Below are 15,289 nucleotides of genomic sequence, written 5' to 3'. Positions count from 1 at the left end.
GTACTGGTACAAAAACAGACACATAGATCAATGGAACAGAATAGCTAATCCATATATGAGTAAAGCCACTTACCTACAATCAACTGGTCTTTGACAAAGTTAACAAAAATATACATGGGGAAAGGACATCCTATTCAATAAATGGTGCGGGAAAACTTGGATAGCCAACATGTAGAAGAATGATACCGGACTCCTATCTTTTTTTTTTTTTTTTTTTTTTTTGACGGAGTCTTGCTCTGTTGACCAGGCTGGAGTGCAGTGGCGTGATCTCGGCTCACTGCAACCTCCGACTCCCTGGTTCAAGCGATTTCTCCTGCCTCAGCCTCCCAAGTAGCTGGGATTACAGGCACGTGCCACCACGCCCAGCTAATTTTTTGTATTTTTTAGTAGAGACAGGGTTTCACCATGTTGGCCAGGATGGTCTCGATCTCCTGACCTCACCTCACCCTCCCAAAGTGCTAGGATTACAGGCATGAGCCACCGCACCCGGCCTGGACCCCTATCTTTAACCATCTACAAAAATTAACTCAAGATGTATTACATTAAGACCTAAGCATAAGACCTGAAACTATAAGAAACCTGGAAGAAAACCTAGGAAAAACTCTTCTGGACATTGGCCCAGGCAAAGAATTTACGACTAAGACTTCAAAAGCAAATGCAACAAAAGCAAAGATAAAGAACTGGGACTTAAGAAGTTTCTGCACTGCAAAAGAAATTTTCAACACAGTAAACAGACAACAGGACAAAATATTTGCAAACCATGCATCTGACAAAGGACTAATATCTAGAATCTACAAGGAACTCAACAAGAAAAAAAAAAACCCATCAAAAAGTGGGACATACGAGCAGCCAACGAACATATGAAACAATGCTTAACATCATTCATCAACAGTGAAATGCAAATTCAAACCACAAGGAGATACCATCTCACACCAGTCAGAATGGCTATGATTAAAAAGTCAAAAAACAACGGATGTTGGCCAGGTGCAGTGGCTCATGCCTGTAATCCTAGCACTTTGGGAGGCCAAGGCAGGCGGATCATGTGGTCAGGAGTTCGAGACCAGCCTGACCAACATGGTGAAACCCCGTCTCTACTAAAAATACAAAAATTAGCCGGGTACGGCGGTGCATGCCTGTAATCCCAGCTATTCAGAAGGCTGAGGCAGGAGAATCGCTTAAGCCTGGGAGACGGAGGTTGCACTGAGCCAAGATCACACCACTGCACTCCAGCCTGGGCGACATGGCAAGACTCCATCTCAAAAAAAAAAAAAAAAAAAAAAAAACAACAACGGATGTTGGTGAGGATGGAGAGAAGTGGAAACATGTATACACTGCTGGTGGGAATGTAAATTAGTATTAGTACAACCTCAATGAAAAACAGCATAGAAATTTCTCAAAGAACTAAAAATAGAATTACCTTTCGACCCAGCAATCCCACTACTGGGTACCTATCCAGAGATAAATAAATTATTATATATAAAAAGACACCTGCACTTGTATGTTTATCACAGCACCATTCACAACAGCAAAGTCATGGAATCAACCTCAGTGTCCATCAACCGATGATTCGATAAAGAAAATGTAACATATATACAACATGGAATACTAGGCAGCCATAAAAAAGAATGAAATCATGCCTTTTGCAGCAACATGGATGGAGCTGGAGGCCATTATCCTAAGTGAAATAACTCAGAAACTGAAAATCAAAGACTTCACATTCCCACTTGTAAGTGGGAGCTAAACAATGGGTGCATGTAGACATACAGAGGGGAACAACAGACACTGGAGACTCCAAAAGGAGGGAGGGTGGGACAAGGGTTAGGGTTGAAAGATTACCTACTAGGTGCAATGTTCACTATTAGAGTGATGCATACATCAGAAACCCAGACCACATTGCTACGCAACATGTCTATGTAACAAACCTGCACGTGGAATACCATGCAGCCACAAAAAAGAATGAAATCATGTCTTCTGCAGAAACATGAACGAACTAACTTCAGGATGAAGCCCTTTAATGAATACAGGACAAAGAAAGTATCTGCAGTTTCCAGGGCCTAATATTTAAATACATGAAAGGCAGGCACAACTGGAAGGCAGTGCACCTAGATATTTAAAAATCAAAAATCTCACTTTTATATTTAATCCCCAGTGCCCCAAAAGAAGGAAACACCATAATACCAGGCTATGCAATGCGTCCACAGTGCTCCTTCTACAAAAGCTTTCAAAAAGGCCAATGAAGTTTTACATTTTTCTCAGCAAAAATGCCAACATAGGAAGCAAACAGGGAAGGAACACATTTAAAAAGGGACTTCAGCTGGCTAAAAAAATTCCCAGAAACAGGATCTAAAAGAGAAAAAAGTGGAGAGGCCTTCCTTGCTCCAGAAAACGTTATAACCTAAATATAGGCTTTTAATTAAGCTGATTTCTGACCACAGAGCTGTAACATAAAAAGTCTTTCCAAATTTCTTATCAGATTTCAGCTGGGACAAACCTAAAGTAGGTCTCCTCTTCAGGTTGTCTGGTTCTAAAACCAGCTTTTCCCCCTTAATTGTGTATGCAAATGAATTACTTTACATTTCAAAGGATCCCATTTTTGGCTACTGCTGCTTACGACCACCATGTGTTAGGTGGGTCCACTTTCCTAGATATTTACGAGAGGACGCCCCATAAGTGTCATACACAAACCCAGCTGGTGATGGTCACAAATGAAAAACCAAGCCCCAATTCCCAAAAATAAAACACAGCTGCAATCTTAAAAGCATGCTGTATAAAATGAGACCATAGGTGCCACACTGCCAATCCCTTACCCTAACCTCCCGTCCTGAGGCAGAAGCAGAAAAACCTTGACCTGAACTTTCCGCTGTGACAGAGGCAGAAAAAAAAAGGCAGTTCTCTGCAGATATCTTGACCTGAATCTCCTGTGCAAAGACAGAGATTGAAGCCCTCACTCTTAAGGAAAAGGGAAGGTTTGAAAAACAGCCCAAATAATGTCTACACCTTCACCCAAATAATGGGAGGTCTGAATTCAGGAGAACTTACCCAAAACACCTGATGGGATTGCTGAGGATGGGGAGTTCATGCTGGTGCCAAGCGCCACTTTCAAAGAGCAACACCAGTGGTGAGTGAGAGTCACTCAATCCTGCCTCCTTAGGCCAGGTATGTTGACCTAAAAGGAAGAAGTTGAGGCAAAGTTAATCTAAGCGGAGAGCTTATTTGGGCCAAGCTTGAGGACTGCAACTTGGGAGCATAGATTCAAGTTGCCATGAAAATACACTCTGATTAACAGCAGTTATAAGTGGATTTTTTTTTTTTTTTTTGAGTCAGAGTCTCGCACTGTCGCCTGGGCTGGAATGCAGTGGTGCGATCTCAGCTCACTGCAACCTCTGCCTCCCAGGTTCAAGTGATTTTTCTGCCTCAGCCTCCCAAATAGCTGGGACTACAGGCGTGTACCACCACACCTAGCTAATTTTTGTATTTTTAGTAGAGACGGGGTTTCATCATGTTGGCCAGGATGGTCTCGAACTCCTGATGTGGTGATGCGCCCGTCTCGGTCTCCCAAAGTGCTGGGATTACAGGCATGAGCCACCGCGCCCAGCCATAAGTGGATTTTTAAAGGAAAATAAGGAGCAGTTCCTGAGCTGTTTACCAAAAATCTACATCAAAATCACATAAGGTATTGATTGGCTATACATTATTCTTTGTATCATAAATTCCAGGAACGTGAAGATAATGGGTCAGTCTGGAACAAAATGACTCTAAACATGTGCGCCCTGCAATGGGTGCAGTGGGGTGATGTTCTGCACCCAGGGTGCAGAACAGCTCAGACTGATCCATTTTTCTTTTCAGTACAAACTGAAGAGGGCTCCAGAGATTACCTAATTGTAGTTTTCCCAAAGTGTGCTAAATTAGTATTTTATGTCTGTTACACTGGTTCCAGAACCCCCATGGATACCAAAATCCATGCCTAAGGAATACCAGTGAAGCTCACTGCCTGTGTAGTGGTTCTGTCTGAGCTGTGCATTAGACACACTAGTGTAGTAATGAGTCTAATGTAGTGATTTTAAAATACACAGATATAAATACATAGACATCCAGGTTCCACCAGAGAGCTCCTAGGTCAGAATCTGAGAGGTGAAAATCTGCCATCTACATATTTTTTAAATGCCCCACAAGTGATTTTGATCCGAGCCAGAGTTCGGAACAACTACTGGAACCTTTCATTTCCTTGACTTCTTCAACCTCAATGTTTTTCACTATCTTTCTACTTCAGTCACCCACTTCGGAGGCCACGCCCCTTCTGAAATCTTTCTTACCTTAGAAAACACTAGACAGTGGGATCTAGACTGGATAGGGAAGAAAGTGAAGAGAAGAGTGGCTTAAAAGGAAAGAAATTAGGCTGGGCATGGTGGCTCACACCTGTAATCCAGCACTTTGGGAGGATGAGGTGGGTGGATCATTGAGGTCAGGAGTTCGAGACCAGCCTGATCAACATGGTGAAACCCCGTCCCTACTAAAAGTACAAAAATTAGCCGGGTGTGGTGGTGCATGCCTGTAATCCCAGCTACTTGGGAGGCTGAGGCACAAGAAATGCTTGAGCCGAGGGGGTGGAGATTGCAGTGAGCAGAGATCAAGCCACTGCACTCCAGCCTGGGTGACAGAGTGAGACCGTCTCAAAATAATAATAATTTAATGTCTCTCCAACATTAAAAACTCTCACTGGCCACACACCCCTTTTGCAACTACCATCCTCTCTTTTTTTCAAGGCCACAACTCTTCAAAAAATTGTCAATACTTTCTCTACTTCCTCATCGCCCATTTCTCAGTTCTCTATAGTCTGGCTTTTGTTCTGCCCTCAGTACTCTGCTGAAACTGCTCTGGTTATGACCACCAAAAACCTTTATGTTGTTGTTCATGCAATGGACCTCATTACTTTTTTTTTTTTTTTTTTTTTTTTTAAAGATACAGTCTGGCTCTGTTGTCCTGGCTAGGGTGCAGTGGTGTGATCTTAGCTCACTGCAACCTCTGCCTCCTGGACCCAAGCTGTCCTCCCACTTCAGCCTCCCAAGTAGCTGGGAATTACAGGTGTACACTACCATGCCTGGCTAATTTTTGTATTTTTAGTAGAAGTGAGGTTTCACCACGTTGCCGAGGCTGGTTTCAAACTCCTTAGCTCAAGTGATCCACCCGCCTCGGCCTGGTGCTGGGATTGCAGGTGTGAGCCATCAGGCCTGGCCTGACCTCATTACTTCTTCCAAGACAGTATCTGATACGGGTGACTGGTGACTGGTGACTCTTGCTTTACTTCCACCGTCTCTCTCAGGGAGCTGTGATCTAGTCTCTTTTTCCTTTGCCTGCCTTTTATGTGTTGCTGCTTCTTAGGTTTTCCCAAGATCTACTCTTTTTCCTCTGTAGTTGACTTACAGGGATCTTAAAAAGACAAAAACCTGATCATATCAGTCCCACACTTAAAATTATTCAGGGCATCCTGCCACTCTTAGGTTGGAGTAGAAAGCCATAAAGAATCCTACGACTGACTGCTTTCTGCTCTCTGCAGTTACTCTCCTGTTTGCTCGAGGCTTCATTCACACGGACCTGCTGTTAGGTGCTGAAACGTGCCATGTGCCCTCCATCCACCCCCATGATATCTACTCCTTTTTCAGGTCTCAGGGAAGATTTTGACATCACAGACCAGGTGAGGTTGCTCATTTACATCTTCCTTTTCCAGGTAGGTTTTTTTTTGTTTTTTTTTTTTAAGACACAGTCTGGCTCTGTTGCCCAGGCTGGAGTGCAGGGGCACGATCTCGGCTGACTGCAATCTCTGCCTCCTAGGTTCAAGCGATTCTCCCGCCTCAGCCTCCCAAGTGGCTGGGATTACAGGAGTGTGCCACACCTGGCTAATTTTTGTATTTTTAGCAGAGATGGGGTTTCACCATATTGGTCAGTCTGGTCTTGAACTCCTGACCTCAAGTGATCTTCCCGCCTTGTCCTCCCAAAGTGCTAGGATTACAGGTGTGAGCCACCACACCCGGCCATGGGCAGCATTTTTTTTTTTAAATCACTGTAATTATTTGTCTAGTAACCCATCTTCATACCTCACCATTGTGTTATGTTAATCTCCATGACGGTAGGAACCTGGTCTATCTGGTTAACTATTCTATTAATATTTTCAATGTCCAGTGCCTGGCACATAGAAGGCACTTAATAAATATTTGCTAAATTTGTAAATGAAAGGATTTTGGTGTTTGCTTTTAATTTTTTTTAAATTTTTAATTTTAAACCCATTTTAGACTTACAGGAAAGTTGCAAAATAGTGGAGCTCCTGTATACCACTCACTCTACTTGTCCTAATGTTAACAGTTTACAAAACCACAGTACAATGCTCAAAACCAAGAAATTAACACTCTTTTTTTTTTTTTTTTTTTTTTGAGACGGAGTTTTGCTCTTGTTGTCCAGGCTGGAGTGCAATGGTGAGGTCTCGGCTCACTGTAACCTTTATCTCCCCGGTTCAAGAGCTTCTCCTGCCTCAGCCTTCCAAGTAGCTGGGATTATAGGCACCCACCACCATATCCGGCTACTGGTACAATATTATTAGCTCAAATTATTCACATTTCACTAATGTTCTTTCTCCACTAATGTTCTTTCTCTGATCTAGGATACACACTGCATTCAGTTTTATTTTTCCTTAGTTTCCTCCAATCTGTAATAGTTTCTTAGGCTGTCTTTCATGAGCTTGACACTTTTTAAAAAGATTCAAAAGCATTTTATGACATTACATATATTTAAGAGATAGGGCAAAAATGGAGAGATATAGGCCTGAGCATCAAGCCTGAGAGACCACCTCCCTGTTCAGGCCCAGGCTCTGGAGTTCATTACCATCAACGCCATTTTGATTGTGTAGTAAGATGAAAATTCGTCTTTACAATAGTTAAGATGACAAGAGAAATTCACACTATGTATCAAATAGCAAGGTGATGAAGTAAATTATAACAGCATGACAATGCAGGAGCAAGTAACCAATAGATTAACATTACTTTGTCTATTAAATGCTTTAGTGCTCTTGTATACTTACCAATGATTTAAATGGTTTAATAAACATCTAGTTTTATTACACTTTGTACTAGTACAATCTCAAAGATACAATATAATGTATTTTAGCAAAAGAGTAAAATCCTATCAGTTTTCTATTCCTTCTTATATATTGACATTCTTATTTTATTTTTATTTTTTGGAGATGGAGTCTCACTCTGTCACCCAGGCTGGAGTGCAGTGGCGCAACCTCAGCTCACTGCAACCTCTGCCTCCCAGGTTTGAGTGATTTTCCTGCCTCAGCCTCCTGAGCAGCTGGGATTATAGGCACACGTCACCAAGCCTGGCTAATTTTTGTATTTTTAGTAGAGACGAGGTTTTGCCATGTTGACTGGCCGGTCTCGAACTCCTTACCTCAGGTGATCTGCCTGCCTTGGCCTCCCAAAGTGTTGGGATTACAGGCGTGAGCCACTGTGCTCAGTCATATTGACATGTGTAACTGTCATATAAGTTGATACAGCAAACTACATGTCATGTTAGTAAGTGATACAAAGGTTTGCTCTGTAGAGTTAATAAGCTGCACTATGGCTGCAGTGAAATCATACACGTGATCTGTTTAATGAAGGTTAAATCCTTTGTGTTCACTTAACTCAGGAACAGCCAAATGTAAGAGGTAAATTGGGCAAGGGGTGGAGGGTTGGTGGGTGCAGAGCTTCCATGCCCTCTCTGGGCATGGCAACCTCCAGCACCTGTATGTGTTCACCAATCTGGAAGTTCTCCAGACTCCTTTTTTTAGTGTTTCTATGGAGGTTGCATTATACAGTCAAGATTGATTAAACTACTAGACACTGGTAACTTAAAAATTTGTTTAAATTTCTAATTGACAAATAATTATATATATTTATAGAGTACAATGTGATGCATTAATATATATTTACATAGTTGATGTGGTTTGGCTGTGTCTCCACCCCATATCTCATCTTGAATTCCCACATGTTGTGGGAGGGACCCAGTGGGAGGTAACTGAATCATGGGGGCAGGTCTCTTCCATGCTGTTCTCATGATAGTGAATAAGTCTCATGAGAACTGATGGCTTTATAAGCTAGAGTTTCTCTGCATAAGCTCTCTCTCTCTCTCTCACTGCCTGCTGCCATCCATGTAAGATGTGACTTGCTCCTCCTTGCCTTCCACCATGATTGTGAGTCCTCCCCAGCCACTCAGAACTGTAAATCCATTAAACCTCTTTCTTTTGTAAATTGCCCAGTCTTGGGTATGTCTTTATCAGCAGCGTGAAAACAGACTAATACACATTGTGGAATAGCCAATTATCATATCTGTCACCTCACATACTTTTAAATTATTTGTGGTGAAAACATTTAAAATCTACTCTTTTAGTAATTTTGAAATATACAATGCATTATCAGCAAGACGCAGTGGCTCATGCCTGTAATCCCAGCACTTTGGGAGGCCAAGGTGGGTGGATCACTTGAGGTCAGGAGTTCGAGACCAGCCTGGGCAACATGTTGAAACCCCATCTCTAAAAGAAAAAAAGAAAGAGACAGAGAGACAGAAAGAAAACAATGCATTGTTATTTTATTATTTTAGTCATCATTCTGTGTAATAGATCACTAAAGCTTACCCCTCCTGTCTCACTAAAACTTTGTACCCTTTGGTCAACATCTCTTTAGCCCCCTCCCACACAGCCCCAGATTCTAGTAACAACCATTCTACTCTCTACAAGTTCAACATTTTTAGAGTCCACGTTTTAAGTGAGATCATAGAGTTTCTGTTTTTCTGTGCTTGGCTTATTTCACTTAATACAATGTCCTCCAGGTTCATCTATGTTGTCACGAATAATATAATTTCCCTCTTTTTGAAGGCTGAATAGTATTCCATTGTGTATATATACCACATTTTTTTTTTTTGAAATGGAGTCTCGCTCTGTTGCCCAGGCTGGAGTGCAGTGGTGCAATCTCGGCTCACTGCAACTTCCACCTCCCGGGTTCGAGCACTTCTCCTGCCTCAGCCCTCTGAGTAAATGGGATTACAGACACGTGCCGCCATGCCTGGCTAATTTTTGTATTTTTAGTAGAGACAGGGTTTCACCATGTTGGTCAGGCTGATCTCAAACTCCTGACCTCGTGATCCGCCTGCCTCGGCCTCCCAGAAAGTGCTGCGATTACAGGGGTGAGCCACCACGCCCGGCCACCACATTTTTAAAATCCATTCATCCAATGGACATCTAGGTCACTTCCATATCTTGACTACAGTGAATAATGTTGCAATAAACATAGGAGTACAGATATCGCTTTGGCATACCCATTTCAATTCCTTTGAATATATACTCAGGTCCTGGTGTGGTGGCTCACACCTGTAATCCCTGCACTTTGGGAGGCTGAGGTGGGTGGATCATCTGAGATCAGGAGATCAAGACCAGCCTGGCCAACATGGTGAAGCCCTGTCTCTATTATACATACAAAAATTGGCCGGGTGTGGTGTGGGGCATGTCTGCAATTCCAGCTGCTCAAGAGGCTGAGGCACAAGAATCACTTGAACCTGGGAGACAGAGGTTGCAGTGAGCTGAGATCGTGCCACTGCACTCCAGCCTGGCTGATGGAATGAGACTCTGTCTCAAAACAAACAAACAAAAAAAGAATATATACTCAGAAGTGGGACTGCTGGATCATATGGTAGTTCGATTTTTTTATTTTTTATTTTTTTGAGATGGAGTCTCGCTCTGTTGCCCAGGCTGGAGTGCAGTGGTGCCATCTCAGCTCACTGCAACCTCTGCCTCCTGGGTTCAAGCATTTCTCCATCTCAGCCTCCTGAGTAGCTGGGATTACAGGTGCCTGCCACCACACCCGGCAAATTTTTTTGTATTTTTAGTAGAGATGGGGTCTCGCCATCTTGGCCAGGCTGGTCTTGAACTCCTGACCTTGTGATCAACCCCCCCCCCCCCCTCGGCCTCCCAAAGTGCTGGGATTACAGGCATAAACCACCGTGCCTGGCTTGATTTTTTTTTTTTTTTTTTTTTTTGAGATGGAATCTCGCTCTGTCACCTAGGCTGGATGGAGTACAGTGGCACGATCTCGGCTCACTGCAAGCTCCACCTCCCGGGTTCACGCCATTCTCCTGCCTCAGCCTCCCAAGTAGCTGGGACTACAGGTGCCCGCCACCATGCCCAGCTAATTTTTTGTAGTTTTAGTAGAGACGGGGTTTCACCGTATTAGCCAGGATGGTCTCCATCTCCTGACCCTGTGATCTGCCCGCCTCGGCCTCCCAAAGTGCTGGGATTACAGGCATGAACCACCGTGCCTGGCCGATTTTTTGTTTTTTGAGGAACTCCTGTAGTTTGCTGTGATGGCTGTATTAATTTACATTCCCACAAACAGTGCATAAGCGTTCCCTTTTCTCCACACTCTCACCAATACTTGTTATCTTTTGTCTTTTTGATAATAAGCCATTCTAACAGGGGTGAGTGCTCTCTTATTGTGGTTTTAATCTGCATATCCATCAAGATCAGTGATAAGCATTTTTTCATTATCTCTGATGGCCATTTGTATGTTGTCTTTTTTTTTAGAGGTAAATGGGAAATTTTGAATTTAATTTTTTGTGAATGAGAATGTCTATTCAGGACATTTGTCCATCTTAAAATTGGGTTACTTGTTTTCTCGCTACTGAGTTCCTTATATATTTTGGATATTAGTCCTTGATATGGTTTGGATTTGTGTCCCTACTGAAATTTCATGTTGAATTGGAAGGTGATTGGATCACAGGGTGGATTTCCCTCTTGCTGTTCTCACGATAATGAGTGAATTCTCACGAGATCTGATGGCTTAAAAGCATGTGGCACTTTGCACTCTCTCCTCCTGCCATATGAAGAAGGTCCTTGCTTCCCCTTGGCCTTCTGCCATGCTTGTAAGTTTCCTGAGGCCTCCCAGTCATGCTTCCTGTACAGCCTGTACAGGAATCGTGAGTCAATTAAACCTCTTTTCTTCATAAATTACTCAGTCTCAGGTAGTTCTTCAGTAGCAGTGAGAACAGACTAATACAGTCCCATATCAGATGTATCGTTTGCAAACATTTTCTCCCAATCCTTGGTTTTTCTCTTCATTTATTGATTGTTTCCTTTGCCGTGTAAAAGCTTTTTAGATTGACGCAACCCTATTTGTTTACTTTTGCATTTGTGGTCATATCCAAGAAATTTTTGTCTAGACAAACGTCATGGAACATTTTCCTTTCTGAGTTTTATAGCTTCAGGTCTTCTGTTTAAGTCCTTAATCCATTTTGAGTTGATTGTCCATTGGTGATTAACTCTATCTTCAACCCCTCTCTTCTCCTCAGAGGTGGGGTGGGGTTTGGGGTTGGGGTTTAAAGTTCAACCCTCTAATTACATGGTAGGTTCCTTTAGCCACTAGCCTCCATCCTGAAGCTATGTAGGAACTTGGAGTCACCAGTCATCTCATTGGTTATGAATAGCAAAAGACGCTTCTATCATCCCTATCACTCAGAAAATGACGAGGGTTTTAGGAGCTCTGCGGCAGGAACTGGACATGAAGATCTACTCTATACAATGTCAATATGTCTACTATGTTTATGACGTCAATATGTTCACGATGTCAATATGTCTCATTAATGGTAATATGTCTCATTAATGGCAATATGTTTCATTGACGGTAATATTTACCATTATCACTTGGTCAAGGTGGTGTCTACCAGGTTGCTCTATGGTAAAAGTTACTATCTTTCCTTTTGTTGCTAATAAATATCCTGGGGGAAGATACTTTAAGGCTACCTACAGGACAGATGGACGCAGTGGCTCATGCTTGTATGCTTGTAATCCTAACGCTTTGGGAGGTGGAGGTGGGAGGATGGCTTGAGCCCAGGAGTTTGAGACCAACCTAGGCAACATAGTGAGACCTTCACTATGAAAAAAAAAGAAAAAATTAGCTGGGTGTGGTGGCGAGTGCCTGTAGTCCCAGCTATTCGGGAGGCTGAGGTGAGAGGGTTGCTTGAGCCTGGAAGGTCGAGGCTGCAGTGAGCTGTGATCATGCCACTGCACTCCAGCGAGCCATGATCACGCCACTGCACTCCACCCTAGGTGAAAGAGTGAGACCCTGTCTCAAAAAAAGAAAAAAAAAAAAGAAAGAAAAAAGACTATGTACATATCTTGCTTCTCAAACCCATTAATTTTAGCATCATCAGTGTATCTCATCTCATCTGCAACAATTATTAACGTGGTGTTTGCCTAATGGTGTTCTTCTATTTCCCTCTTACTAATTTAGTATTGGAATTTTTCCATAAGGAAAAACTGCTTCTTATCCCCTATTCATTTATTTATTAGATTATTTGCTTATATCTATAGAGACTCATGGATACTTATTTTATTCTATGAGTTAAAAGTCAAATACTTTTCTTATTTATTTTATTGCACAAATTGTTTCAGCTTTGGCCATTACGAGACTCCTGTGTTATTTCAACCAGGCTTTCTCCTTTCTTAAGCACTTTCTCACTTCTTGGCAATATAAGATGTTTCAGGCTCTAGCATTTTTCCTGCCCAGCCCTGGAATCAACCGTTTCTCCAAAGTGCCCTGGTTCCTTTTACTGGAGAACAGGATTTAGAAACAAAGATTTGGGTGCTAGGTATGCTTATTGCTACTGGGGTATCATTGCTTCTAGGCCCTCTTAGCAGACATAACTAGGAAATATATAATATTTATATATATATACACACTAACCATGTATATACACACATCAATTATGTGTGTTTATGTGTGTGTATATATATATACACACACACACACACATATATATTAAATATCATGAGTTCATACTGATATCTGATTCCAATCTAATACCACAAGGTTCATTTTAGTCTTCCCTTTTTCCTTACCGGTAACTTCCTTCTTCAACAGTAAAAAATTGGTGGCTCTTATTATCTACTTATTTGTTCAATTGTGACATACATATAACACAGCTTTATAATAGAGTTCCTAACTCATACCCTTGTGAGAAACACAATTACTGACTTGATTACAGCATTTATGTGGAATTCTTTTCATCTTTAGCCTTACAGTATCCAGTTAAGATACTGTTTCCTAAAGTTATTTAAGGTTATTTTCTTCCTCACCTCTTTCAATGTGGTTACATCCTTCCTTTGTAATGTAGTTAGGTCCAATTTATTAGTGTTTATATTCACTCTCCTCTATTTTTTATTGTATTTATTCTCAGGTGGCTTCTCTCATTGTCTTGGTTTCACTGCTCGTCCTTTCTGAGCTACAGAAAAACATACAAATGTAACCACCCTCCTGGACACCCCCAGGTAGATGTCCCTCATATTTCTGAAGCCTAACATATCCAAAACTCATTCTCTCTCGTCTCTTGCCATTAATTTTCCATACAGTAAGGTAGGTCAGAATGGTGACTCCACAGCCAAACCATATGGGTTGGATTCCCAGCTCCATGACTTTAGCTGTATGAATCTGGTTGGGTAAATGACTCAACCTTTCCAGGCTTCCACTTCCTCATCTATAAAACTAGGAATAATAATAGTATCTACCTGTGGGTTTGTTGTGAGGATTAAGGAAAAGTGAAAATTTGTAAATATTTAGAATATAACAGCACAAGCCAGGCGCAGTGGCTCACACCTGTAATCCCAGCACTTTGGGAGGCCAAGGCGGGCAGATTGCCTGAGGTCGGGAGTTCGAGACCAGCCTGACTAACATGGAGAAACTCCACCTCTACTAAAAATACAAAATTAGCCAGGCATGGTGGCGCGTGCCTGTAATCCCAGCTACTCGGGAGGCTGAGGCAGGAGAATCGCTTGAAACCAGGAGATGGAGGTTACAGTGAGCCGAGATCATGCCATTGCACTCCAGCCTGGGCAATAAGAGTGAAACTCTGTCTCAAAAAAAAAAAAAAAAAAAAAAAAAAAAAAAAAAGAGTATAACAGAATATAACAGCATATAATAAGCAGTAGATAGATAGATATATCTTAATTCTAACTCTTCTATCATATTCCCGATCTCAATGAATAGCAACACCAAGCCTGAAACCCGAATGGCATCCTGAGCTCCCTCGTTCTCCCTTAGGCTCTCTATCTAATCAATGTCACATTCTGGTATACGTATTCCCTTCAGTATCTCATGAATGTTTCTGGTCTTCATCTTCATGTCTAGTACATTGGTTCAGCCACCATCAGCTCTCACTTTGATTACTGCCATTCCCTTCTAACTTATCTCCTTGACTTTAGTCTAACCTTTTCTTCATACTGCAGCCAGAGTGATCTTTCCTATACCCCTCTCTACCATGGAAATACCCTCATTTTACTTTTTGGCAAATATTAAAACACAAATTTTAGTAAATATATAAAAAATGAAAATCACTTATAATATCACCTGGAGATAACTAGTTACCTTATTTTTGGGATTTATCCTTTCAGGCTTTTTCCATGTATACACACACAGGCATACACATGCACATATTATTAAATGTATAATTTTCTTTTCAGAAATCTACATTTTAATTGACAATATTGTAGATCTCACTTCATGACAGAAAACAAAAGTCAAAACATTCATTTTCTTAATAGATTCATAATATATTCCTTTGCATGCAATAACCAAAACTTATTTCATTATTAATAGACCTTTAGGTTGTTTTCTTTCTTGCTTGCTTGCTTTTATAGACAACAGCAAACACTGTTAGACATACAGTTTTTGAATGATTTTGCCTGATTAGTTCCTTAGGAAAAGTGTAATTGCAGGGTCAAAGAAAAGGCAAAACACTGTCCAGGAAGGTTGTATCAATTTATATATTCATCACCAATACATGAGACCATTAACCAATGTCAGGCTTTGTTCTTTTGAAATACATAAACATATTTAATCATTGCTTTAACATGCACTTCTTAGATATATGGGACAGAAGTATTTATATTTTAGCTTTATTTTTTAAATAAATTACCCTTTCGTGTCATCTGTCCATTTTTCCACTATTGTGTTTTTCTTGACAATAGTGATTTCTTGATTTGCAAGAGGTCTTTAGACAGAAGGTAGTATAAAGTAAAGGGATTAACTCAGCAGAACTGGATGATCCAAACCCTGAACATTTCAAGGAAAGGTACCCTGGCCTGCCTCCTTGGGAGACAACCTCTAAACCCCTGGAATATCCTGCCAGTTAAGAGTGTCTTTGTTTGCCTGAGGCCATGGGACATGTTCAGATGTTAATGCTAATAAAGGGACCCTGTTATGTTGAGAACTGC

General features: G+C 41.4%; 1 protein-coding gene across 2 annotated transcripts in view; it reads right to left on the bottom strand.

Annotated features, from left to right (window-relative positions):
* ZNF713 (zinc finger protein 713) overlaps positions 1-15,289 on the bottom strand; it is a 54,770-nt gene that overhangs the window by 32,807 nt on the left and 6,674 nt on the right. For both annotated transcript variants that reach the window (NM_182633.3, NM_001366796.2), the window contains exon 2: positions 3,040-3,166. The gene's annotated coding sequence lies outside the window, so the exon portion shown is untranslated. The remainder of the gene's footprint in view (positions 1-3,039; positions 3,167-15,289) is intronic.

Source organism: Homo sapiens, chromosome 7 (genome assembly GCF_000001405.40).
Source record: "Homo sapiens chromosome 7, GRCh38.p14 Primary Assembly".
Classification (NCBI taxonomy): Eukaryota; Metazoa; Chordata; class Mammalia; order Primates; family Hominidae; genus Homo; species Homo sapiens.
This window is presented reverse-complemented; position numbering and strand designations above follow the sequence as displayed.